Source organism: Homo sapiens, chromosome 13 (genome assembly GCF_000001405.40).
Source record: "Homo sapiens chromosome 13, GRCh38.p14 Primary Assembly".
In the NCBI taxonomy this organism is placed as follows: domain Eukaryota; kingdom Metazoa; phylum Chordata; class Mammalia; order Primates; family Hominidae; genus Homo; species Homo sapiens.
Genome location: NC_000013.11, coordinates 34,619,387 through 34,646,891, shown reverse-complemented (window position 1 = coordinate 34,646,891; position 27,505 = coordinate 34,619,387). Strand labels below are relative to the sequence as shown.

The following is a 27,505-nucleotide window of genomic DNA, read 5'->3' as shown; positions in this document are numbered from 1 at the left end:
ACCTATTATCATGACTCTACAATCTACACCTCTAGTCCTACCTTTCACCCTGAGCACTAGACCTGAGTTTCCAACAAAGCAAAATGGAATGAAAGCTTTCCTTCAGATAAAGCTGTTACTTTCTTTGTATTAATAACATTGACATTTCTCCCAGACACTTGGAGTGTCATTCTCTGTTTTCACCTTCCGAAACAAAGTAGTTAACAAGTCTGCCTTACAAATGTGCTTTGGGTTTGTCCAGTCCTTTCCATTCCCTGGGCTTCTGCTCATATTCAGAACTTCACTATTCAGGACCTTAAGCCTCATGGCCTTCTAACAGTATTTCTTCTGATCACAGTGTTCTTTCAATTACTATCTGGGTTATCTCTTTAAATATACATCTTTTTTTTCTTTCTTTCTTTCTTTTTTTTTTTTTTGAGACTGATGCTCACTCTGTCAACCAGGCTGGAGTGTGGCACGATCTTCGCTCACTGCAACCTTTGCTTCCACATTCAAGTGATTTTTGTACCTCAGCCTCCCATGCAGCTCGGATTATAGGCATGTGCCACTGCACCCAGCTAATTTTTGTGTTTTTAGTAGAGACGGAGTTTCACCATGTTGGTCAGGCTGGTCTCAAACTCCTGACCTCAGGTGATCTGCCCACCTCGGCCTCCCAAAATGTGGGGATTACAGGCGTGAGCCACCGCATCTGTCTTAAATATAGATCTTAACACTCCCCTGCTTGGAGACATTTGAAGCTCTCCCTTAGCTTCAGATTATAAATCGAACTTCTGAGCAAGGCCGTCAAGGTTCTCCATAATCTGGCCTCCATTCATCTCTAGTGTTCTTGTCCATGATAACCCATTGCAGCCTGCACTCAGTCACACGGGATACACCTTAAGATTCCTTACTATTTGAATTAATGCACACTTTATGACAGAGTTACCGTCTTCTGAAATTTGTACCGGCTAAAACCTTACTATTTAAGAAGGTCCACTCGAATACCATCTTCCCCTAAAGCCATTCTAGTTGACTTTCATCTGTTCTTTGTTACTTTACTGCTAATGCTCTTATCACTTTCTTCCTTACAGCCTGGGTTGTTTGTTTGTTTTTCCCTTGTATTTAAAAATGACCGCAGAATACAAGTTCTTAGAGGATTTCAACAATTAAAGAATTCAGAAGTATGTTGAGTAAATAGACATATTTCCTCTTCTTTCCAAACCCCAATTCCAGCTTTCTCTGAGAGAAAAAGAGTGTAACTTCCAGAACTTTCTCCATGCCTTGATAAATGTCTGTTTTCAGAACCTTAGATGGGTGATAATGGACATATGACCTCACAACCTGCGTCCTCACTTGGAAATGTTCTTGGACATCTTTCTTGCCAGTAGATAGGGATTTGCCTACTCCTCTCCAACTGCTCCGTTGTAGATGTCACAGACACTACTGATTGTCCTCCAATCATCTTATTTTTTGGCTACAGTAATAGAATCCGAGTCTTAGCTGGGCACATGAATGTCAGGAATGAAGGCTACTTTTCAGTTTCCTTGTATTCAGGCATGGCCATATTACCCAGTTACAGCCAATAGAATTAAGAAAAGGTTTAGTCATAGTCAATAGGATTAAGGAAAAGTCTAATCGTAAGGAAAGGTAGTTCGTGTAACCTTTGGGAAGTCCTTAAAGGGAAGGGCATATTTTTCTTCTTCTCTTTCTTCCTTTGTGCTGGCATGAATATAGACGTGATGCCTGAAGCTGGCGCAGCCATTCAGGTTTATGATAATTTTGGAAAAAGAGGCCATATATGATAGGGGAACAATGAATAATAACAAAAAAAAGGCCTGGACCCTTGGCTCTCTAGAACACCACTTCAGCCTTGGACTGCCTAATTCCATATTTTTAAAAATAAATTTTTATGTATTATAACACAGGACTTATAAGTCCCCATTTTTCTTGTAGTTTTTAGTTTTTATTTTTTTTAGAGATGGGGGTCTTGCTATGTTGTCCAGGCTGGAGTGCAGTGACTATTCACAGGTGTGATCATAGCTCCCTGCAGCTGTGAACTCCTGTGCTCAAGCAATTCTTCTGTCTCAGCCTCTCGAGTAGCTGGGACTATAGGCATACTCCACCACACAGGGCTGTTTATTTTTACATAGATAAAAGATAAGCTTTCATCTTGTTTAAGCCACTATTATTCCTGTTGCAGTTGAACCTAATCTTTGATAAATGATCACATCTTAAAGACTTTGCTAGTTATTCCATATTTTTTTTTCTCTCCTAGTCCCTAAAGTCTTTGAAGGGTTACCTTTGGTCTTATTCATCTTTGTCTTTTTTTGTCTTTATCTATCATCTAAATCCCACAAATACCTAGCAGAGTATCTGGAACCTGGTCAAAGCTCAATCAGTATTTGTTAACTTGAATTAAACCTGTTTATTGCTGATCATAGGATTTGCTACCTCTTCACACCATATGAACAGGGGGAAAAAAAACAATGTGAAATAGTATAATTCCTAAACTGCAACAAATAAGTGGATTCCCTTCATCTTGAATTGAACCCATAATACTGCCACAACAGCAATGCTGATATGTTGGTGATTAAAATATTTATCTTAGTGAAGTCTGAAGGATTTTGCTTAGTTTTCAAATCTCCGTGTGATATAACTACACCTTACTTATCCAAATAAATGCCTCCTATGAATTTCTGTGCCTCGACAGCTTCTTCTATAAAATCATTCTACAATAGTTCTTGTGTGAAAGTGGAGGGTTGGACCAAATCAGTGGTTCTTATTCTTCTGTGAGTCAGGTAGGAAGACCATATAACTTGTCAATGGAACTAGGATACTTTTGAGAGTGAAATGGGGCATTATTAATAATCAAGCCGGGACAATGGGCATAAAGATGACTGTCCTCAGCAAACTGTGACATGAGCTCTGCTTGTCATAGACCTCTTTGAGAAATGAATAAAGTCCTAGGCTCTTTCTTCAGAAAATGCATTTGCCCTAAATTTCACATTCAATTTGAAGAGTCCATGACCCATGTCAGTCTATCTATGGGATTTGAAGGAATCTACTTTCCTAGACTAAGAACTCATGGGCCGAATAACCCCAACTTCCATCTTCATGAAAGTCCTGTAATTCCATCAGCTTAGTATGGTGATCAGGAGATTCCGCGAGTTATTGGCACAGCGAATTCTGGCAAATTCTCACTCTAACTGCTCAACCCTGGGCTGCAGATCAGCAGCGGGCATGCCTTTGCACTACATGAGCGCTATACTTTAAGGTCTTAAGGTGTAGCGTCTCTCCATGGCCACACATGAAAAGGGAAGAGATTAGACCAACCACCACAGTAAAATTACTTCAGTCACACAGCAGCTAAATGCCAAGGTAAGCTGCTACCAAGAACTCTTTGCTACCTAAGGAATGGAGCTGGATAGGGGCTGCATGGAAACCCCTCATCATGTGCTTTCCAACTCTGCTGCTCCTAATTTCCCCTCTCCTGGCATCCCCAGACCAGTGGTGCTGACAGACACAGTAACTATGAATGGTTTCCTGTGCAGGGGAATAGGGCACTCAGTCATATTCAAATTTCAGTGTCCACAACACTGGGAATTTCGAATGCAAATGTCAGTTTTTTAATTGCATATGAAATCATGGACTTGATTTTCCATTTCAATAGAATAGGTAAGAAATACTGGCAGTTTGAAAAGTATTTAGAAAATGAAAATCAGGACGACAAAGGAAGAAGTAACTTTAAATTCATAAAGATAAAAAAAGAAAGGAGAATATACCTGAATGAAATCCAATAAATAATGTGGAATGGAGATGGTTATCATTTTAAAAGGTTTGAACCCTCGTTTCTATTGCCAAGGCAACCATCACATTATGGAATTGCAAAACAACAAAGAAAAAGCAAAAATAATTGGAACAACAAAACTCTAAAGGAGGACAATTTGTGTAGAGATGGGAATTTAATAAATAAGAATATGAAAAGCTGCTTTATTCAAACTAACTTTTACTTGTAAGCAAAAGAAAATGTTTTTGGAAAATTAATATTCTCTTTTACATTTTTGGAAAAATATCAGAGAAAATATAACATGCTATTCAAACTATGTATTAGATCCTGCTGAATTCATATGGGATTTTTTTGGTCCATTCTCTCAAAGATGTGGGTGTTTCATACACATTACTATTTAATATTTATTTAAAAGTCTGTGTGATCAGCATTTTATTAAGACACTTCTTTCCTCCAGAAATTTTACTTTTAATTAAAACAAGTGGATAGATTGAACAACTCTTATTTCTTTTTTTATTATTTGTAAGAGGCAGTTTATCAAAGGAATAGGTACTAAGCATTCAAGATAAATATTGCATGGGTTAATTTCAGAAGGAATATGGTAAACAGCTACCTGGATATTAAGAAGTAATGGTCATCATCTGATTTTTACTCAAAGCTAAATAGGAGCTAAGCTTGTATACTTATGTAAAGTTTACATCAGGCTGTGTAGAAACACATACCTTTTTTCAAGCTATTTTCTAAAGTTCTTAGATTTTGTTATTCTTTTCTTTCTATCCATCCAACCTCAATCCTCAGCTCCAACAAACACACACACACACACACACACACACACACACACACACACACACACAGAGAGAGAGAGAGAGAGAGAGAGAGAGAGAGTAATATAGGAGGAGGTGACAGAGGCTAAGCTATTATTAACCTGAAAGTCTTTTTTAGTGTCCCTGGGCCAGTTTGGAAAACAATCATATAATTTTGTATTATTGGATGAGTTGTCAGTTGCTGCCCAATGTTTTAACCCTTATAAGGGCAGCCTCACTGATGCATTCATCCAAACACATTTTGTATAGCATCCTTACTTTCATGTCCAAAAGTTGTATCATTTGATTGTGTAGAGAAGAACCACAATGTAAAGGCAATTGGCTGTTCCAACAATTCATCATGCCAAATGAGAAGATTGCATTTCCATACCAAAAAGCCAGGCAAGACATGAAGGATTCAGATGCTCCCCTGAGGATCTGTGACTGGAGTAGGAAAACCCAGCAGAGATGGCAGTCAGTGCCACCCTGCGCCTGCTTTCTCTTTGTGTATCTGTGCCACAGGCGGACTCCCTTGGTTCCTGACCCAGTTTCTCCCTTAGACTTTGTTCTCAAGGACAGTCTAAAGCCCTGGCAGTCAACTTGTCCTGAGAACCATTGCATCGCTGTAATACACCTGCGGGACCCCCTCTTGCTCCACAAAATGATCAGCATAGAAATGAACAAATCCATTCTCCTTGGAAACATCCCCAAATGGCTCACTTACCCTGCTTGCAGCCAACCATGGGCTATCATATGTATCTGAAAACCAATTAGAAAGTCTGCCCACTTCCAAAAATTTCACCTTAATAGCATGCTTGCCAATCAGACATGGCCTCACAGGAAGCTCTCTTTTACTTGATAAAGCTTCCTTTCCTTTCTAACACCCTTGAACCCCTGCTGAAACGATGACAAGGCAGATGGGTTTCCTTGTTGCAGGTCTGTAAATAAGCAGTCTGTGTTCCTGTTGGCTTGGACTTGTTTTGCCTTTGACAACTTTGATGCTGCTCCTGTCATTAACGTCTGTTTTCACTTTAGCTTTGTCTACAGACTCCCCCATGGAACGGCCCTCCTGTGCCTGACCCCAGGCATACGTTCTGTTGCCATACTCTCTTTTAGGGACTGGCTTTTGGATATCAGGCTTGGGACACAACAGTGAATGCAGCCACCATGAGTCAGGGCCAGACTCAGTCTAAGGGGGATGGTGCAGTGGTCAGTTTCACCAGGTCCTTTGTTGCTGTTTTCGTGACTGTTCTGTCCTGTGCAAGAAAGGGGCATCTTTTCCAACTGTGTATCCTCCAGGCCTGGTTTTCTGATCTTCCTGATCCTGTGGGTTATGCGGCGGGTTTGATTAAATCTTTTCTGCCTACATTAGTTTGAGTGGGGTTGTTTCACTTGCCAAAAATCTCCTGATAGAGACAGTCTCTTTGAAAGGAAAAGGAGCTCAATGTCTGGTTCTCTTGGCCTCACTGGGCAAGCTGCTTCCTGAAAGTGCTGACCTCATTTCTTAAGGGGATAGATAAGCATTTATTCATATGATGGGATTTCAAGAGGGTGAGAGCAGAGCCCTCGAAGGTGATTGCAGGGCGCAGAAGAGGTGTCCAAGGGCTTCAAAGACTTCCCTTAAGGCCTGTCCTGCTTACAAGAAATGCAATCAGGGGGAGCAGAATGACGCAGAGGAGTCTGGAAGCTCAGGATTGCATTAAGCGACTTTCCCATACGTGAGTTATTTGTCTATTGGAAATAAATCTATCTGAATGTTGTATTGATCTCCTTGCCAGGCTGGCAAAAATCCCAGGGAGAGGATTTACCACTGAGGATGGCTCTGGGTCAAAGCCTTCATAATGATATCCACTTTTAGAGGATCCTTTGGAGTTTTGAAAATGCTTACATAGAATGAGTGGTTTCTGGATCACTACAGCAGTGAGATATTCTACTTTGGCTTTGCGAGTCAGAACTGCAGTTAATTAATGCCTTTCCTTCAGGCTGAGAGCAAGAATGTTACAACACCTGAGGCTGCATTCAACTTCAGATTAGCATATATTACACCCAGTGATCACTGAACATGCTCTAAAGATGTGCAGGGACAATTTCAAACCAAATCCAGTTTACGACTTCTTTGTTTTCTGTGAAATACATTCCAAAAGCAGAAGGAAAAGGCGGCCAAAGATAAATGACCCTATTTTATTATTCTGCATTTGTTATCAGTATATCTTAATTACTTTTCTTAAAGTATGTGTTTTTGATATCAATCTGTGAAGTATACTTTTTTGGGGCTTGCTTTTAGAGAGAATCTTGATTTTAGGTAAGATGAAGCTGAAGGAAATCATGCTAGAAAGTTTAGTGTCAGTGAAATTACGTTGTCTCATGCATATATGTATGTATATTCTCTAAACGAGTGCCTTTAATTTCTGGATATAAAATAGCTGAATTGTGTTGTTATTTTTTCAATGAAACCTTAAGGTTAAAAACACTGAAGGGAGAGAGGGGGAAAACGGGAAAAGCCGGGCATTCTTGGGAAAATGACAGTGACACTCTTTTTTTTTTTTTTTTTTTTGAGACGGAGTCTCGCTCTGTTGCCCAAGCTAGAGTACAGTGGCATGGTCCTGTGTCACTGCAGCCTCTACCTCCCCAGTTCAAGCAATTCTGTGGCCTCAGCTTCCCAAGTAGCTGGGATTACAGGAGCCTGCCACCAAGCCTGGCTAAGATAGTAATATTCTTCATCACTGGTTTATTCCCATAAAGATTTTTTAGTTGCTTTATAAGTGCAACATTATGATTGAGCAGCATGGAGAATTAAGCATGATTTGTTGTTGATGTCACACGAAACCATAAATAGCAAAGATCTTAAAGTAATTTGGAGGACAAAGACTAAATAGTTGCATTAATCTCTTTATTTCAGACATTCCGCTAGCATACTATCTGACTTGTAGTTGGCACTCGGCAAATATTTTAGTAAATAAATAAATGATATAATGATCTTGGAGGATTTGTGACATAGGTCAGCTTTTCACCTGGTTTTGAAGCCTTTTTTTTTTTTTTTTAAATAAAGTGATTAATTCCGCAAAAGTGATTTGAGGAACTACTCTGTTTCAGGGACCTCAGAGGTGGCATTGAATCAAACAAGAGTTCCTGCCTTCTGGGGCCTCACAAGACAGTGGAGACTGAGAACTTTTCTGTTTTCTAGTAATCTGGTGCCCCACTGATCAGTTTCCACCTGACATGTTGGAACGATGGTACTGTCTTTGGGGGACTGGGCCCTAGTTGCATGGATACCAGCTCATCAGGGAGGCCTTTGAATTTGAATACCTTTTGAAACAAAGGTACTAAGAAAAAAGGAATACAATTAACTGAGAAAAGAAGAAAGTTGCAGTGAACCAAATTAGACTAACCAGAAAGATGAGATGCTGGTTAACCCTAAATCCTAGATGCGCACTCAGTGTCTGCCCCGTGAAGCCGGAGGAGATTACAACCTCTTGAATAGAATGGGCAACCTCTCCTCATGAGGATTTTTCTAATTAATCATGAGGCATATTACTAAGAATCCTTGTTTAGATTTATTTATTTTAATACACTAATACAACCCAAGCAGAACAGAGAGCAAAATCAGGTCTTATCCAACAACAAAAGCAACCAGACAGCTGGCATTACTGCTAATGTTAAACAGAACTGTTCTACTTTAACTGTGACTCTCTGAATACTGTCTATCACGCATAACCTGTTGATTTAAAGCAGAATACATAACTGTTTACCAAATAAAATTATGTAATTATTATTGGCATACCCTTTTATTAATTTTTTTGAGGTCTTTCTCTCATTGAAAGTATATTTTCTTTTGTTTTTTTTTCTGATTTGTTTTCTCATTTTCGATCTGTCTTCAATCTGTTGAGGTTTACTAGTTTGAATCTCAAACTGATCATCGCCCCCACTCTCCAAACCCTTTGCCCTATCCTCCAACCACGCTATTTTCTTACTTCTCTAGTTCTTAAAATATCTATAACCTTCCATCTTGTCTGGGCTTAACAATGATTTGGTGGCCTTTGTTTTTTCTTTTTCTTATGGTAAATTCATTAAATCCAATCAGATTTAAAGAGCTCCATATTGTACATCCAAATTATTTTTGCTCTTGCTCACTTATTTGCATCTACATTCCCGTTATCCTACAGCATTCATTTCCTCTTGCCTGTGCTATTCCACTATGCTAAGCTGATCTATTACAATATGCTAACCAGTAGTTTCTTTCTTAGGTCCATTTTGCAGATTAAAACCAAATTAATCATTAGAAAACAAAAATGTGATCATGTAGCTTCCTGTCCTTAAATTTTCCATGATATTTAATTTATATCAATACGAATACAAATTCCATAGATTGGCACCCAGATTTCCACACTCTGGTCTTATCTCTATTCTTGGCTTCTTTTTTTTTTTTTTTCTAGTTTCCTGAAACATACCCTATGCTCCACCAGCTGGGTTTCATGCTACTGTAGAACTGCACAGTCCATTGCTGTGGCCACTAGCCAGCTGTAATGTAAGAGGGAATATATAAATGTGCAACGGCTAGACTAAAATAAAAATAGAGTTTTGCCCCATAATATGCAGCAACTAGCCCAGGAAACCAACTAATCATCTATAGTAACCAGCCCAGGAGGCCAGCCTACTGCCTATAAGTCAGATTTGTAGGAAGTCAGACTGATATCTCTAGCAACAATCCAGAAAGCCAAACAATAACCTCTGTAACAATCAGCCCCAAACAGCCAGGACTTGATTCATAACTGATAGCTTCTGTAACTTTTGTTTCCAGTTCCAACTTAAGACCAACCAGAAAAAGCCAAAAATGTACCCCTAACCAATAACATAGGATGCTGTGTTCTAGTTAGCCTGCCTACAGCTTCCACACGCCAACAGCCTCTGCATAGGGCACACCTAAAGCCTTCCCTTTTTTCTACTCTAAAGCTCTCCCACTCCTCTGCCTGCATTTGAGTCTCTGCCAAAACACAGATGATTCTGCCTGACTCCCTGCTGCAGCAAGCTCTAAGTAAATAGGCTTAGCCTGTTGTCTGTTTTCATTCAGCTGGTCTTCAACTATTTCCATATTTTATTAAAATTACATAAAACTGAAAGTTAAGGTCTTTAGTTACACCAGCAAATTTCAAGAGCTCAATAGCCTCAGGTAGCTAGTGGCTACCATCATATCAGACAGCATAGATGTGAAACATTTCTATTATCCCAGAACATTTCACTGGGCAACTCCACACATGTCTAGGGTTTCCCCACTGTATGTTACTTCTCCTACTTAAATTGCCTTCCTCTCACATTTTCACCTGTCAAATTTTTACTCAGCCTTCATGGCCTAGATTAACATGTCCTTCAAGAAGCCTTCACTGACTCCTCTATTTAGATGCCATTTCTAATTACTAACATTACTCTTTTCTTCTAGTTCCATGATCTCTTCCATCTTGCTGTATTGTAGACTCCTGTCTCCACAACAGGACTTAGTTACATTTTGCCCCACAGAATCTTGTGCTTAGTATACAGTGGGCCCTTAATAGCTTTTTTTTTTTTAATTTACATGTGGTTTGTGGGAAAATAAGGGTCATATTGACTTACTTTAAGTTGTCATGGAATAACAGAAGGAATTGCATCTTATGCTTTCCATTTGGGACATAGAATATACAAATAGCGTTGCACATGGCTTTGTTCTTTTCTCCCTGTTTCTGCATCTGTTATCCTCTAGACCACCTCGTTTGCCACTAGGAGTATGTTTATAAAGTTAGCTGAGGAGTAGTCTGGAGTCTCCTTTGCCGTTTCTTAAAAGTTGTGTATGCCTTTGAAGCCTTTCCATAGGGTGGCCGCTGGGAAGGAGGCTACAGGTCTAGGATTCTCAAGATACTTTGGAGGTGGATGGATTTTTAAAATGTCTGCAAATACCAGACAGAGCCGGAACTCGGTGACTTCTTCATGTTGTCCCCTTGCCTAGAATATGACCTAGAGCTTCTCCACCCTTACATCACCTCTGTGCCTGGTAAACTTTCTGCAAAAATCAGGTCAAATATCACATTGTCTGTGAAGCCTTCCCCTGTCTCACCAAGTGGAGTCACTCCATTTGGCTGTTTATCAATATCTGCTTGCACATCTCTTTATTCTCACATTATGGTGGGTAAACTTAAACACTAGTTTTCAAAGTAATGCTACTTGGAAGAATACATGCTGCCAGCAGAAGGAAATTTGCCTGCTTATACTTCCTTTTCAATGGTTGTTGCTGCTATTATTTTTAGATACTTTAGAATAAAAGGCACTAAAGCTCAGAGAGTGAACTCTGAGTTCCCTCAAGTGGAGGTAGCAAACCCTTTCCTCACTGCACACCAGCAGATATTTGTCTGAGGGAAAGGAATTGCTATTCAGTGAGTTCCTGAGATTGGGATATTTGCAAGAACAGAAATTGACCTGAGTATTGGAACTTAATTATTTGGCAGAGGGCATGGGGTATCCTGGAATGGGGGTAAGACTGTGATCTAGGTCACTAGTTGGGATGAGGCATAGAGGAAGGGAAAAGTAGGAAGAAATGGAGCCAGAGAAGAAAATAAACCATCCATATGGGACACTTACGGAAGGACTAGACAGAGGGCTTCCTTCTTTTGAGAATTCAAGAGAGTGAGATGCCTTGTGGAACAGTAATTTATTCCATCTATCACTGTCAGCTTCATATTCTGCCAGGTTTTGGAGAAATTTCTTGAACCCTTCAACAAAGAACTACCTAAATCTTTATTATTGTTCAGCGATATTTAAGCAAGAAAGCATTTGCAGTGGGGTAGGTGTGCCCTGCTTGGATACTCATAAAACGTTGGCCTACATTCTCACCTTGGGCCAGGATAGAGACACCCAGCTGGAGAAATAGTACGAATATGCTCTTTTATGTTGTTTCCTCAGAGAATGTGGGCAAGACGGGAAGAGCTGCCCTTTACACAAATTATCATAGAGTTACAATAATAATTCATTCATTTATTCAACAACACTTAGAATAGACTTTGGAAAAATGGTTGGCTTGGCCTAAGTGGTGCGTGACTTGAAGGCTGACACTGCATCCTGTCTCTTTCTCTGTATCCCGAAAGCAACCACAGTGCCTGATTCATGATGGGTGTTTTTAAAAAAATTACAGAATGAATTATTCGGCTTGTTGATTTCTGAGGCTCAATAGTTGGGCTAGAAGTAAATGCACTAGCCATTCTGTTGAAAGATAATATGAGAATTTATTTTCCAACTCATATGCCTTCTTTTTCAGATTAGAGGAAGGCTGGAGGAAGAGATACAGATGTAACTTGAAAAGCTATGGCCAGAATCCTCTTGAGAAGACAAATGATAGAATTATAGCATCTCAGTGCTGAGAGAACCTCAGAGCCCACTTATTCCCTTTCTTTTATTTTGTGGATGAAGATATCAAGATTCAAATAGTTTCCACATGGCTTTTAAAACGCGAAAATATTCTTTTAGAGTCTTGCCAACTGCTAGGTTAATTTAAAGGTTTAGGCTTCCTAGTTCATGTTCCCATTTCATCTTAGAGTTCATGAACCCTTTCCACTCAGATATAGGTCTGGGTGTGGTGCTCATTGTTTTCCCTCCTTTTATCCTGCTCTTTCAGCCTACTTACCAGGAACTCAGCTCACTCCCACCCTCTGCCTCCTCCTCTTCTGCTGACACTGAAAGAAACATACATTCAGCTCGAGCACTCCCTCTAATTTCTCCATTCACCTTTACCATCATCCCGGCACCTGGCTCCAAGCTTCCCCTGACATATAGAGGACTTTGAAGAAGAGACTGTCATTTAATTATGAAAACATGTAGGCTTTTCTTTTTGCATATCTGAACATTTTATAATAATAGGATTAATTAGACAAGTTTTTGAAAACCATAACTGCATTTAAAAAAAATTTCTTTTGCATTTTACCAGACTAATCTAGAATTGCCATGGGTTATTCAAGGAACAAGTATGAGAAGCTGATTTGTATTAGTTTTTGGAGTAGGATATGTAGGAGTTGATCACACCTTGAGGTGCTCAGATGTTGCTACAGTTTCTCCTGTGGTTCTTCTGGGGTCTAAGTGTCAGCACTATGACTCTTCCTGTTACATTTGGGGTCTTGTGGTTGCTCTGACCAGCCAGGTCATGCTTGGCATTCCTTCTCAGGAAGCCATCCCAGCCAGAGCTCCAGGGGAAAAGACAGACCCTAGATCCTGGCCCCCAGTTATCTTGTGTCCTGGCTCAAAAGACTGAGTTCTAATTTCTTGTTTAAGCTGTGGAAGACCTGTAACTGCCAAGGTTCTCCTTGCCCTCTTCCCAGATAGTGCCAACTTATCAAGATAGGAGAAAGAGTTTAATTCATGCAGAACCAGCAAATGGAAGATTAGTTTTATTACTTAAATTAGTCTCTCCAAAAATTTGGAGAGCTAGGGTTTTTCCAGGATAGTTTCATAGGCAGGGGAATGGGTGCTGCTGATTTGTTGGGGATGCCATTATAGGGAGGTGGAATATGCTCCTCATGCGCTGAGTCCACTTCTGGGTGGGGGCCACAGGACCAGTTGAGTCAAGAGTCATGGGTTTACGTGGGGCCATCTGTTTGGCAGAAATGCAAAAACCTGAAAAGACATCTCAAAAGGTTAATCTTGGGTTCTACAATAGTGATATTATCTGCAGGAGTAATTGGAGAAGTTGCAAATCTTGTGTCCTTCGGAATAACGGCTGGTAATCATTTACACCTACATTTTAGCAGAATCCAGGCTCCTTTCATCCTTGTATCCTAGTGGTCTTTTATTCATTTTACAAAGGCAGTTTGCTTCGTGGAAGGCCCATTCTTGTTTAAACAATAAACTTATTTTCTCCTAAAGTTAATGTGGCCCAAGCCGAGGAATGACCAAGGGCAGTTTGGAGGTTAAAGTCAACATGCAGGTTGGTTAGATCAGATTTCTTTCACTGTCATAATTTTCTCACTGTTATAATTTTTGCAATGGTGGTTTCAGAGCCAACTAATAATGTGTTTAACAAATTAGGGTTTTTTTTTTTTCCTTATAACAAGAATCCTGGAAGTGAGTGGTAGCAGGGTTCATTCAATGGCTTGGTGATATTGGAAGAAAACTTTTCCTTTACTAACTTAGTTCTGAGCAGTCAGGCCCTGAGAATTAATAAGTAGATTAACAGAAGAAAAGTTGATCACACATTGAGGAGTACTAAAATACACCACCCCAAAATATACCTCTTTGGCACATGAATTATTTTGAGCTAAAGGCCACTGAGAACCAGCAGACATAGACTCCATGGCATCTGTATCCTACTAGGCAGAAAGCCAAGCCAAACTTTCAGGACACAAAATGAGGAAAACAGGAAAGCAATACTCTACCTGGTGTCAACCAAAAGAGTCAAACACTATAAAATAATTGAAGATATTTATTTTGAGCTAATGTTGAGTGACCATGGCCTGTGGCACAGCCCCAGGGGATCCTGAGAACATGTGCCCAAGGTGGTCAAGCTACAGCTTGGTTTTATACCTTTTAGAGAGACATAAGACATCAATCCTATTAACAATACATGTAAGATATTCCTTGGCTTGGTCTGGGAAGGTGGACCTACTGGAAGGGCAGGGGAGGACTTCCAGGTCATAGGTGGATTCAAAGATTTTCTAATTGGCGATTGGTTGAAAGAGTTTAAAGACCTGGAATCAATAGAGGGAGTGTCTAGGTTAAGAAAAGGGATTGTGAAGGCCAAAGTTCTTACTATGTAGATTAAGTTTCCAGGTAGTAGGCTTCAGAGAGAGTAGATTGTGAATATTTTTCTTATCAGATTAAAGAGTCTGTTCTGTCAGTCTTAATGTCTCTGCTTTAATGTTAATGCTGGTCAGCTGTGCCTGAATTCCAAAGGGGGGAGGGTATAATGAGGCATGTCTGACCACCCATTCCCAACACGGCCTCAGCTAGTGTTTCAGGTTTACTTTAGAATGCCCTTGGCCAAGAGAAGGAGTCCATTCAGTTGGCTGGGGGGCTTAGAATTTTATTTTTGGTTTACATTTGGAGGGAAAGGATCAATAACCAATGAATACTCAGAACCAAATTCATGACAGTCACAATCCAAAGAAGGAATTCTTATGTGTTTTTCTCCTGTTACTATAAGTTTGGAAAGGAAAATACAAACTTTTACCCCTTCATTTGATTGATCCCTGCAGACAGAAGCCCCAAACCCCTTTTCCTTTAGCAAGAGGGTTAAGAAAGCCAAGGTTCTGAATGCCCCTTGAGTTACTGATCCCTGAGTACTCCAATGTGTTACATGCACCATGCACACATTAATAAACTTCTGTTTGCTTTTCTCCTGTTAATCTGTCTTTGGGCAGTCTAATTTACAGGGCCCCAGGTGGAGAACCTAAGGCGAGTGAGGGAAGACATATTTCCCTCCCTCAGACAAGCAAGCAGAAGCTCTCCCTGAGTCCTCTCCAAACAGCCAGGAAGGGTTTATATTTATAGATCAGCATAATAAGGAGTTGTTAGGGCTTTAGTGGGGATGTATGGGAGGCTCTGATAAGGCTTTACATGATTTCTCACCCTGGTACTAACAGTCATTCTCCTTTCTCTTTGGAAGCTCCCTGGAAGGCGAATTATTGTGGCTCAATGCTCACATCTAGGTGCTGAGGGTTAGCCTTCTTTCTTCTAATTGGTGGCTGAATTCTCAGAAAGCTCTGCTAAAACAAGGGAAGTTTAGAGAGGCCCTTTTCTCCCTCAGCTGCTGTGTGTTTAGATGTTTTTAGTTTAAAGTAATCTTTACGCCATTCTGGTCGTTGGTCCCTTTAGCATCTCATGTCATGGTTAGAGGAAGGTGTTGGGGGCTGCTGAGCATTCAGAGCAGGTAGTAGGGGGGTGATAGGGTTTGGCTTTGTGTCCCCACCTAACTCTCACCTTGAATTGTAATCCCTATAATCCCCACATGTCAAGGGTGGGACTAAGTAGAGGTAATTGAATCATGGGGGTGGTTTCCTCCATGCTATTCTCGTGATAATGAGTGAGTTATCATGAGATCTGACAGTTTTATAAGTTTCCGGCATCTCCCCTGCTTGCACTCACTCCATCCTGCTGCTCTGTGGAGAAGGTGCCTGCTTCTATTTTGGCTTCCACCATGATTGTTAAGTTTCCTGAGGCCTCCCCAGCCATGTGGAATTGTGAGTCAATTAAACTTCTTTCCTTTATAAATTACCCAGCCTTAGGTACTTCTTCATGGCAGCATGAAAAAGAACTAATTCAGGTGGTTTCCTTTTCCTTGTGGCTCTCTTTTGGTGGGGGAAATCCCCCCTGAAGGCAGTCATCAGAACCACCTGGAGAGCTTTATAATGTCGTAGAGTCTCAGGGACTTGTTCTGGAGATCAGAGTGGGTCTGGGATATCACTGTGTTGGGAAACATGTGGGGAGGGGTCTGGGATCTCAATTATAAGAGCATCAGTTAGGTCTGGGATATGCTCCAGGAGGGAGGAGGCAAGCACCGTGTCTTTGAGCAATCTTTGCACACAGCTCCTGGGTATCATTTGCATGGTGGCAGCTTTCAGAGTATTTAAACATTATGGAGTTTGTTTACTCAGATTACAAATTCATTCTGTAGTTCCAGCGCTTAGCCAGTTTTACCAAAGTTTATGGGTACCTGCTTGTGTGTACTTGTGTCTGGATGTAAGTGAGCTTTTATTTAGCTTGTTGGTCCTCATAGTTAAAAATAAGGTTTTAAAATCATTCTATCATAAACAGGGCCATTACATCAGTAAGATGATAATTTCAGAAGCAAAGGACACTTTGTCAGAGGTGTGTGAACCAGAGCAACTCCATGTTAAAGATAAGCTGGGTAAAATGAGGCTGAAACCTACTGGGCTGCATTCCCAGATGGTTAAGGCATTCTAAGTCACAGGATGAAATAGGAGGTCATCACAAAATACATGTCATAAAGACCTTGCTGATAAAACAGGGTGCAGTAAAGGAGCTGGCCAAAACCTAACAAAATCAAAATGGTGACAAGAGTGACCTCTGGTAATCTTCACTGCTACACTCCCACCAGAGCCATGACAGTTTACAAATGCCATGGCAATGTCAGGAAGTTACCCTATATGGTCTAAAAAGGGGAGGCATGAATAATCCACCCCTTGTTTAGCATATCATCAAGAAATAAACATAAAAATGGGCAACCAGCAGTCCTCGGGCTGCTCTGTCTATGGAGTAGCCATTCTTTTATTCCTTTACTTTCTTAATAAACTTCCGTTCACTTTGCACTGGGGACTCACCCTGAATTCTTTCTTGCATGAGATCCAGGAACCCTCTCTTGGCATCTGGATCCAGACCCCTTTCCTGTAACATCTTAGTATTCAGTTTCAGGTAACATTTTAGTATGATTAATAGGGGCTCTTTGGGCAAATGTGCATGTTGTGGATTTTGAGGGAAAAGAGAGGTGATGGAAGGTGCCAGCACACACAGACACTGAGGATATTGGACAGACAATGTGATGCTGATGTGGAGCAACTCTGGCCTGAGAGAGAGAATTTGATTCTAGGACCAAGGAGTAGCTGCACAGTTCTGCAGGCACTAGCTATGTCACCATGATCGCCTCTGCCTGAGTCTCAGTTTTCTCATCTACAAAATGATCATCACACTCTTTACTTTCCATGAGATTTTGGGTGCAAATATGCCGAATAAACTGTGAAAAGAAATTCTTTGTGATTCCCAAATACAAGGATGAACAAAAAGGGGGTCAAGTGAATCAGTTGGAGGGGTTCAGCCTCTGAATGGGGGACTGCTTTTCTGTCTGTCTTTCCAACAATAGACGTGATTCTACACATGCCCTCATGGGCTCAGCCTACAGTGCAGGGAGACTGGGCCCTCACTAGGAGGTAAGTTCTCATTATATTCCATGCTTTGCTTGGAGCCAGGACATTGTTGTATATTATTTCATGCACCAATCTGTTATAGGTAACCTTTCCTTGCAAAATGTGTGTGTGAAGTGAGATAAACTTTTATAAATATTTCCAGGGAGGGAAATAATTTAGACTATATACTCCTTATGTTTGGTATAGCTTATAAAGGAACTGAGTGATAGAAATGTAAAATTAGTCTGTTCTTTGGGTGGTAGAAATCTATAAGAAGAAACACAGAGCAGTCTATTCAAGTCCACCTTTGGGGAATCATAGATTAAGATGCAGTGGTCAAATGTGAATTGCTTCGTCTGAAAATGACACAACCATTTTAGTATAATATGGGCTGGCAGCTGTGTCTTATAAGCCTGGGTTTAAGAATATTTACAACCCAGTGGCTCTAGAGTCTTGAGGGATTTTACTTTCTTTCTACTCCACAGTTGTTGGTTTTTCTGACATTGATTTCTGTAGCTGCACTCAGCTTTATCCAGCAGAGATGGAACACAGTTTCACAAATTTTAGTTGGAAGATGCATTTCTAGATTTTATTTTGTTTCTGTTATTATGAGGAGCTTCTGACAAGTCTCAACCCAGTGAAACAGCTAATTTCCCTGCGATCTATTGAGTACATTGATATCAGGAGGAGCAAGAGGGATTTAAAAAAAAAAAGTCTTTTTGGTTTGTCTTACATTTCCAATCCTTACCTGGATTGAAAGTGCTGGGGAAGACCTGGAAATCCACAGCTCATTGGAGAAAGTGGAGAGGTGGGCAGCATTGCTTTGCAGAGACACCTCCCTGTTTCCTGACTTCTTATATTTACAAATCCTTGTGTTTAAAGAATCTCAAGAGACAACTTTTCGTGTAGTGTGTATCTAATTGTTCTAACTGCAGGTGGAAGCGAGTGAAGCCTGCTAACTTTGTTTTGTATTTCACCCTGTAAGTAAATTTACTTTCAAATCACTGTGTGTTTACCATTCTAAAATTAATCATATGTTGAAACCTCTTCTGATTCCTTAGCTGCTTTTGGCTGTAAAACACGCTGATATTTGGAATAGATAATTTTCCAGCACATATTTACCTCCCACTTTGGAATCCTAAGTACGTCAGGGAGGCTCTCCGAGTAAACACATGAGACTCAGGAACATAATTTTTATGAATGGAGCCCCCTCTCAATAAATTTTTGGAATATGAAAGCTGAAAGATGTCTAACTGTCAGGAGAAGGCGAGGAGCCTCATGCTTTGTGTACTTTGGTGTCTGCGTAAGTGCTGTTAAATCAGAGAGCACAGCCTTCAAAGCCATCACACCCTTCTGCTACAGAGGCAATGGGGCTCACTAGAATGTCTGGGCTTGCACAGAGGCCAATCAGCCTCACCCTTCCAGGTCTCCTAATTACAGGTCGAAGAGAGGAAAGCGAATCTAATAAGGGATTCCTTTCCTGGGCAGTTATTTTTAGAATCACATTTAGGTGACAGTGATTATATTCAAGTGTGTCCATCATGTTTAAACGTGACCTTAGGGATGGTGTTTTAGTTCTTTCCCACAGTAGGGCTGGTCTCTTGCTGTTGCAGTCAAACTTTTACACCTCGGTCTCTTGTGATCAGCAAAATGCCAAGGGAGAAAGTGACATTCACCGGCCCTGAGAATGAATCTAATCCATGACCTTTGCCTCATTAGCAGCCTGACCTAACCAATCAGAGAAAAGCCTGCCTTTGATTCTGGTAGCACAGGCTGTGACAGCGACAGAGACAGCCTCCTTGGTGTGGCTCTAAGATGCATCCCTGGTTCCCTTTGATCTGCTTTGTCAATGCAGACATACCAATTTAGGTTGTCTTTCTGACTCTCTGTAGCTCTTTCTGTCTGTAATTAAAATGACAAAATGTTTGTTATCCACTGACGTAAAGTAAATACCAGCAACTTTACAATCTTTATTTGCTTTTTCTCAAGAATATGCTCACAGATTCAGTGCTCACAGATATGCACTGAAATCTAATATCCAGATGTTTAGAATTGTTTAATTTAAAAAATTTAACTATTTATTTAAAATAATTTCAGACATACAACAAAGTAGTAGAATAGTACAAAGAATTCCAATATACCTTTCACCCAGCCTCCCAAATGTTAGCATGACACATAATATTTATATAATGATCAAAACCAGGAAATTAACATGATATGTTACTATTAACTAATCTATAGACCTTATTCAAAAATTTCTGAAGGATCACACATTTAGTTGCCCCAACCTCTTAGTCTCTTCCATTCTGGGACAATTTCTCAGTCTTTCTTGAACTTTTATGACACTTGTGAAAAATAAGAGTTAGTTGTTTTGTAAATTTTCCCTCTGTTTGGATTTGTCTGCGTTTTCCTCATGATCAAATTCAGATTATGCGTTTTCAGCAAGAATATGACAATAGTGATCCTGTGCTCTACTCGGTGCATCTTTGTTTTGTTTTGTTTTGTTTTGTTTTTTGAGACGGAGTCTCACTTTGTTGCCCAGACTCGAGTGCAGTGGCGCGATCTCGGCTCACTGTAACCTCAACCTCCCAGATTCAAGTGATTCTTCTGCCTCAGCCTCCCGAGTAGCTGGGACTACAGGCACGTGCCACCACGCCCGGTTAATTTTTGTATTTTTACTAGAGACAGGGTTTCACTCTGTTGGCCAGGCTGGTTTTGAACTCCTGACCTCAAGCTTCCCGACTTGGTGTGTCTTATCAGGGAGTATGTGGTGTTGATACATGTACCTGCTAGTGATGTTAGCTTTGCTCACTTTGCTAAGGTGGTGTCTGCCACTGTGAAGGTACTATTTTCCCCTTTGCTGTAAATAAGTAAGTTGTGGAGAGATCCTTCAAGACTGAATAAACATACTGTTTCTTATCATGCTCATTATCATACTCAAATCTTTGGACTTTTGCAGTTGAAAAATATTAATGGGATCACTGCCTATTATTTTAAAGACATGCCACAAAAAATTAGGATGTCAGGGTGAGAATAAAGAGTTTTAAGGTATAAATCCCACTTTGTTATTGTTATGATTGGTCTTTATTTTACTGGTATCAATACTGTAGTTTGTGATCTTTGGCACTTTCTTATGTTCTTTTCTTGGGTGAAAAAATTAAATATATAATACATGAACAAAGATATTGTTTCAAAAATTTACTGAATAAATTTTATTCTATATGTCTAGATCCAGTCCTCTCCCTCCCTCCTTTCCCTTCTCCCTTCTTTTATAAACTCACTGAGGCCTAGTATGCCAGTCCCAGGTGTAAAAAGGTGAGAAAACATAGTCTGACCTCCAGGAGTGCCATGCTAGAGGTACCAGGATAGCACATACTTAGAATGGGTGCTGGAGTATTGGTAAGCTGGGTTTGGCCTAAGATCCTTTTATCCTGAAAGCACAAAGTGAAAATCAAGGCACAGTTTTACAAAGGATCAAGGTGAAATCAGGATAAGGTTTGGAATCTGAGAAAAGTAATGCTATCTATAGGATACATAGCAAAGCCATCTATCTTGCCTTTGTGGCTTTTGCTGCTGTATGGTTTCCACTAAGGGCTAATAGCCATTGGATTCTAAAAAAAAGAAAGAAAGGAAAAAAAAAAGAAAGTAAATTAACTGAACATGAATGTGATCGAGTGGGTGTCCTTCCCTCAGAGATACTGAAAATCTACAGCAAGGCTGGTTGCTGGGAACCAGAGCAGAGAGAAAGAAGCCAGAAGATGACCCTCTTTGAAGTCTTTAGACCATGATTAGAGACTGGCTCTTCTCTGCTTAGTCCTCAGTCCTTTGGGAAATGGCAGCCCTGAACACACTTTATGCCATTAGAAAGGTTAGTGGAAGGGTCTCACGACCTATAAACCCTGTTGCGTTATTAAAGCATGCCAACTTTTAACCAGTAAATGATGTGTCTTTTCACTGTGATTCAAATAATTTCTCCAAATATCTGGTTTCCCAGAATTTTAAAAATAGATTTGAGGCATCTCTTCATGCTTTTTCAGTACATCATGTTATTTTGATTTTTTTTTTACTGTGATAAAACATATAAATGCATCATTTTTACAAAAACTGAAGAGGTCAATTCATCCTATAAAGCAATTAATTATAAGAGTGATAAAATTATGCCTTCACCAGGTAGATGTGCAGCAACGTCTCTAACAGCGAACTCTTCATGAAGAAAAACCTGTAGAGGCAGGAAAACCTTATTCAGTATATCTGTAAAAAATTAAATAAGATGGTAATTAGTTGTTTTAAAAACGGAGATTCTATTTCATTTCCTGAATTTCTTCTGACTACATAAGAACATGGAAAAATAAACACACCATTCTTTTCACTCTACTGAGCTATGTACCTGACAAGTCATTTAGCAGGGTGACAATGCATATTGTTGACCATTTCAGCTTCCTCTGCCCTTTTATTCTAATTTGGGTACCTCTTTCCTCTGTTTTTATTAGAAGACTAAATACACCTGGATTGGAGAATGAAAAGAGTCATGACAGCCAGTTGAATGACTTCATGGCCAAGACTTCAGAAGAAAGCTCTGACTTCTTGGGAATCCCATTTCCCCCAGTCCCCTGAATCTCCTTTGAGAAGCAGTTTTTGCTTCGTAAGCCATTTCTGAGCACCCCACTTGCTGCCAAGGGGGTTAACAGTTGCTAGGTGAGGAGAAGGAGCCATTTTTCCCAGTGTTCTCACTATGCTGTGTACATAGTCTCTCATGTGAAGGGCAGCAAACATGGTGGTCGGTCATCATACATTGTGAATCTAGCTCTTTCCAAGTCTCTGGGTAGATCAGCATATTGTTAGTTACTAGAAATCTGATAGCCCTCCTAAGTGTTTATTAATTATTTGTAAACGTTATTAAGGCTTCCCTCAATGAGTAAAAGGCTCTTTATAACATGTTTAAATTTAATTCAAACCAATCTTTATAGAAATGTTTGATGTAATTCAAATCCATTAATACAATGACATGCCATTTACAAATAAGATACTCATATCAGCTGAAGTCTACCTCATTCTCATCATACCTCTTCCCGTCTTCTTCTCCTTTTAGTGTCCTCTTTAAATATTATTCAAAAAGTATGACTTATTGGGTTGACTAAAAATGTTGCATCTCCCCACCTTGTTTCCTTCAGAAACATTTGGCTGCACCTTATCCGTTTAATCTGAGCCTATTACCAAAATAATTTATCAGTTACCAAGTGGGATTATACAAGGTCAGTAGCAAAATTAGGAAAAAAGGCTGGGTGCAGTGGCTTACGCCTATAATTCCAGCACTTTGGCAGGCTGAGGTGGGTGGATCATGAGGTCAGGAGTTCGAGACAAGCCTGATCAACATGGTGAAACCCTATCTCTACTAAAAATACAAAAAAAAAAAAAAAAAAAAAAAGGCTGGGCCTGGTGGTGCATGCCAGTAATCCCAGCTACTCAGGAGGCTGAGGCAAGAGAATCACTTGAATCCAGGAGGTGGAGGTTGCAGTGAGCTGAGATAGCACCACCGCACTCCAGCCTTGGTAACAGAGCGAGACTCCATCTCAAAAAAAAAAAAAAAAAAAAAAGGAAAAAAAAAAACTAGGAAAAAAATAGCCCAGATAGAAATGGGAATGTGCTCACCAAATCATAAACAACTGTAGGGCTCCTACGCCCGCCTTACACCTTCAGTCCATGTTCTTGAGTGAAGAGGGGTGAGGGAGCAGGGGGACAGTATATTTTTGGTGGCAGAAATGAGCTGTCCTCAGGGATACCGAGAACACAGTTTTTAGAGCCTGTGGGTGTTATCACAGGGGCTTCCTGTGGTGCCCAAAGTGACTGGGAAGCAGAGGCTGAGTCTCAGGTGGGCAGCAGGGTGCTGTCCTAAACAGCCCCAGAGGAGAGCTGCGGCAGTGGAGGCTCTCACCAGGATTGCTGTGACCCGGCCCTCCTGCTGGGGTGGCCTTTTGTAGCCTGTGTCCTCCTGCTAGGCATCAGCTGCATCTACATTGTTTAAACACACTCCAGTTCTTTCCCTGTTCCAGAACTGAATTTGAGTGATTTTGTTACCGGAAAGGGGTCTCCATCCAGACCCCTGGAGAGGGTTCTTGGATCTTGCACAAGAAAGAATTTGGGGGCCGGGGGCGGTGGCTCATGCCTGTAATCCCAGCACTTTGGGAAGCCAAGGCAGGTGGATCACCTGAGGTCAGGAGTTTGAGACCAGCCTGCCCAACATGGCGAAACCCTGTCTCTACTAAAAATACAAAAAATTAGCCGGGAGTGGTGGTGGGCGGCTGTAATCCCAGCTACTTGGGAGACAGAGGCAGGAGAATTGCTTGAATCCAGGAGGCGGAGGTTGCGGTGAGCTGAGATCGCACCTTTGCACTCCAGCCTGGGTGACAAGAGCTAAACGCAGTCTAAAAAAAAAAAAAAAAAAAGAATTTGGTGCGAGTCCATAGAGTACAGTGAAAGCAAGTTTATTAAGAAAGCAAAGGAATAAAGAATGGCTACTCCATAGGCAGAGCAGCAGCATAAGGTGCTGGTTGCCCATTTTTATGGTTATTTCTTGATTATATGCTAAGCAATGGTTGGATTACTCACGCCTTTTCTTTTTAGACCATATAGGGTAAAATCCTGACATTCCCATAGCATTTGTAAACAGGCATGGCTCTGGTGGGAGTGTAGCATTGAGGACAACCAGAGGTCACGCTCATCGCCACTTGGTTTGGGTGGAGTTTATCTGGCTTCTTTATTACAACCTGTTTTATCAGCAAGGTCTTCATGATCTGTATCTCCTGCTGACCTCCTATCTCATCCTGTGACTAAGAATGCCTTAACCTCTTGGGAATGCAACCCTGTAGGTCTCAGCCTCATTTTACCCAGCTCCTATTCAAGGTGGAGTTGCTCTGGTTTAAATGCCTCTGAAATGTTCATTTGGAGAAATTTACTTACCAGCTAGGTACGGTGAAGATTTCCAATGTAATATAGAGATGGGAGTGAATGGGATGTCCATAAAGAGGAGGCAAATGCTTTTAAAGTATCCTTGGCAAGTAAATTGATGCGTGAAGAAAGAGTGAAATAGTGAACTACTGTAAAGTGTGGCCCCATGGAAAGCCTTACTAGGGTAGAACTATTCTGATATTTTTCCATAACTGTGCAAAATAAAAAATTCAGAATGGTACATATACTATAATTATGACTCCACAGAAAAAACAAACATTTATGCATATTACCAAGACTGAAAGGAAACACAATAGAATGTTCAAAATGCTATTTCTGCATGGTGGGAATATGGATGAATTTTGTCTTCCTTTCTCCTTTCATTTCCCACATTTTCTATAATAAGCATGAATATCTTTTCATAATGAAACATAACAAATAAACTAAGACACACACCCACACACTGAAAAGATATTTTTAAAAAGAATTTTAAACTACAAACATCCTTATTGCTGGGCTTATGTGGAGCCTGAAATTCCCATTTTTGGTTTAAAGTCTTGTCTTTAGGAAGATCTCATTTTACAACATAAAACACTACCTAGTAGAAGCAATGTTAATCCATGAACACCTTAGTATAAAAATATATAAAAAAAGTTTCTGTTTTTCTAGCCTTGAGGACTGTAGAGAGTATGAACCCGAGGGTGGAATGGAGAAATGCCCAGGTCCTGGAATTTTTAACCTGTGTAGGACACCACTCTCCAGGTAAATGCCTAAGAGGACAGTGACACTGAAGAGGTTTTTATGGTGGAGAAAAATGATACGGGGTTTGGGGTGGCTTAAGGAGAATGAGGCAGGAGGAGTCACAAAAGCAAGCCTGCTTTACATCTTGTCTACATGTAATACTGCAGCAAACATATTTGTTCATGCATCTGCATAATTATCTGATTGTTTCTTCAGGATAAACCCCTGAAGATGAAAGCACTGCATTAAAGGGTGTGGATAACCTAAGACTTTTGATAGGCGATTTCAGGCACATTCTAGGTGCAAAGCGCTCTCTTTACTATTGCCTATATGCAGGATGGAGAACACCTAGTCCTAAATAATTTCCATGAGACTTCACATCAAAAGGAAATGCCAATCAGTACCCAGAACCTCATTGCTGACTCCTTTCTCTGAAATGTGCCAGTTAAACTCTTCTTTGGTGAGCGTTAGGACTTTCAGGAGCATTTAAACAGTTGAAGTGATTTTGAAGTCATTTATTCAGAGGAACAGATGAAGCCATCTTAAGGCCAAAGTGAAGCCTGCACCTTCACCAGGTTTCAGGCAGCCAGCTCTGGATCTCAGCTTGTATTGTAAAGCAAGCCTCTTTGTTTACAGCAGTCCAATATGACTGTCTACTAGGATCAAATTAACTGAAAATAAGCTCTGGAAGACTGACAGCTTTAATTGTCATTTAATAGGCCCCTTCCCTAAACTCCCTAATATCTTGTGTTGATTGTGATTACAGAGGGTCCCGTGAGTAAATCTAATTTAAATTGATGCTCAGTTTGGCCAGGACTGAAGAAATACTGGGTGGCAATTGTGGAACAAAACTGGGTAAAATTCTTTTTATCTTTTGGTGGTTAAAGTACTTGAACTTTAATACCTAAATACAACCCATCTGGAATCCTTAAATGAAAGCTTTAATTCTCAGAGAAAGGATTTGAAGGTCTCTTTGTCTTCCACTGAAGGTTTTAAGAGGCAGTCAGCAATTAATAAATGAGATCATCGGCAAAATAAAATTCTTCTTCAAACCGAATTTTAATAGGCTCATATCTCAACCTGGGCTTAGCGGTGTTTAGGATGAAAGGATGCTGGTTATTTGTATGACCTCAGGGAGACCTATAATGACTGGGGGGAAAGAAATTACAATCCTTCAGCCATTCATGCTTGGAAAATTACTTTCAATAGGCACATAAATTATCCATGTCTTGCTTTTCTTTTGGGGAATATTCAGAAATTACCAGAAAGCATATAATGGATCAATATTTGCTGCACTGGTTATCTTTTTTATTTTTTTGTTTCTCTTTCCCCCAGGTTCTCTGTTAGGGTCATTGCTGTCAGTTAAAATGTCTGACTAGATCGTCTTCACACGAGGTATTGCTCTGCTTTTGCAGAGCTGTCTGCTGTAACAGATGCAGGGTATACTTTTGACTGCATGTGGTTCTCATTAAATCTTCACATGAGATTGAGGCCTGCCACATAAATTGGTGGAGCTTCTCTTAAGGATTATGAATCACTTAAGGATTATGTCCTTTTTATCGCTGCAGTCTAAAGGCAGGTTCATTGCAAATATGAGCCAGACAAGAGACCCTACAGGACACTCCCATCAATAGCCTTAAGGCTATTTCTCCAACCTGTAAGAAAATGTAGTACTTAGGCCGTGTCAGAGGGTGAGAAATGACATCCCTGAATCCCCAACACACACGTTTACAGCACCAAAATACTTAGATATACTAGTGACACTAAAAAAATCACTCTCAGATAGAAAAATCTTTTGAGGGTTGATAAAGTGTTACAGTCTCCACAAATAAGGATTAAGGGGCACCCCAGGTTGTAAGAACAGGATGTTGTGATAGGAAAAAGAGAAATCAATAGTTAATATCTCATATGGAAAACAAAATGAGTTTCTGGATGGCAGCTCGCATTTTTTGGCACATGATTCTTTCTAGTTCTGTATGGACTTTACTACAAGCTCTTTTACAAAGAAACAATTGTGATTTAAATATAAAATCAACAGAATTTGCTGTGGTGAAATTTTTTGCCCTTATTTGCTGATTGAATAAGAGGCTAATATAAAAGAACACATTTCCTTTTTACTTATGTAAATAGATGTGAACATAATGCGAATCTGAAATAATTAAACATTTTTCAAACTTCCGAAAAAGACTGACGATACAGCCCTGTGGTTGAGAAAGATATCCGTTTCTTTTTCTGAGATTCAAAAGCAGGGGCCATGAGCTGGAGCTCTTTGCTCATTTGAAGTAAATCGTCTTGACAGTGCATAAGAGAGAGAAGAGCTCTGAGATAATTGGGTTCAAAACAAGTATTTGCAGAATGGAGACAGGAAGCTTTCTGTACAGATT

At 40.2% G+C, this 27,505-nt stretch overlaps 1 long non-coding RNA gene across 1 annotated transcript in view, besides 1 other annotated feature; it reads left to right on the top strand.

The window, feature by feature from the left end:
• Positions 1-6,206: 6,206 nt before the first annotated feature.
• Positions 6,207-27,505, top strand: part of LINC00457 (long intergenic non-protein coding RNA 457) — a 205,236-nt gene continuing 183,937 nt past the window's right edge. The window contains exon 1 of the long non-coding RNA NR_047036.1: positions 6,207-6,287. This is a non-coding gene — a long non-coding RNA (long intergenic non-protein coding RNA 457). The remainder of the gene's footprint in view (positions 6,288-27,505) is intronic.
• Positions 23,554-24,753: an enhancer, noted in NCBI's record as "CDK7 strongly-dependent group 2 enhancer chr13:35196276-35197475 (GRCh37/hg19 assembly coordinates)". NCBI's record gives its function as "activates an origin of replication core promoter dependent on BRD2, BRD4, P300/CBP, MED14 and CDK7 cofactors, with strong dependence on CDK7, by STARR-seq in HCT116 cells {active_cell/tissue: HCT116}" and the evidence as "EXISTENCE:reporter gene assay evidence [ECO:0000049][PMID:35650434]".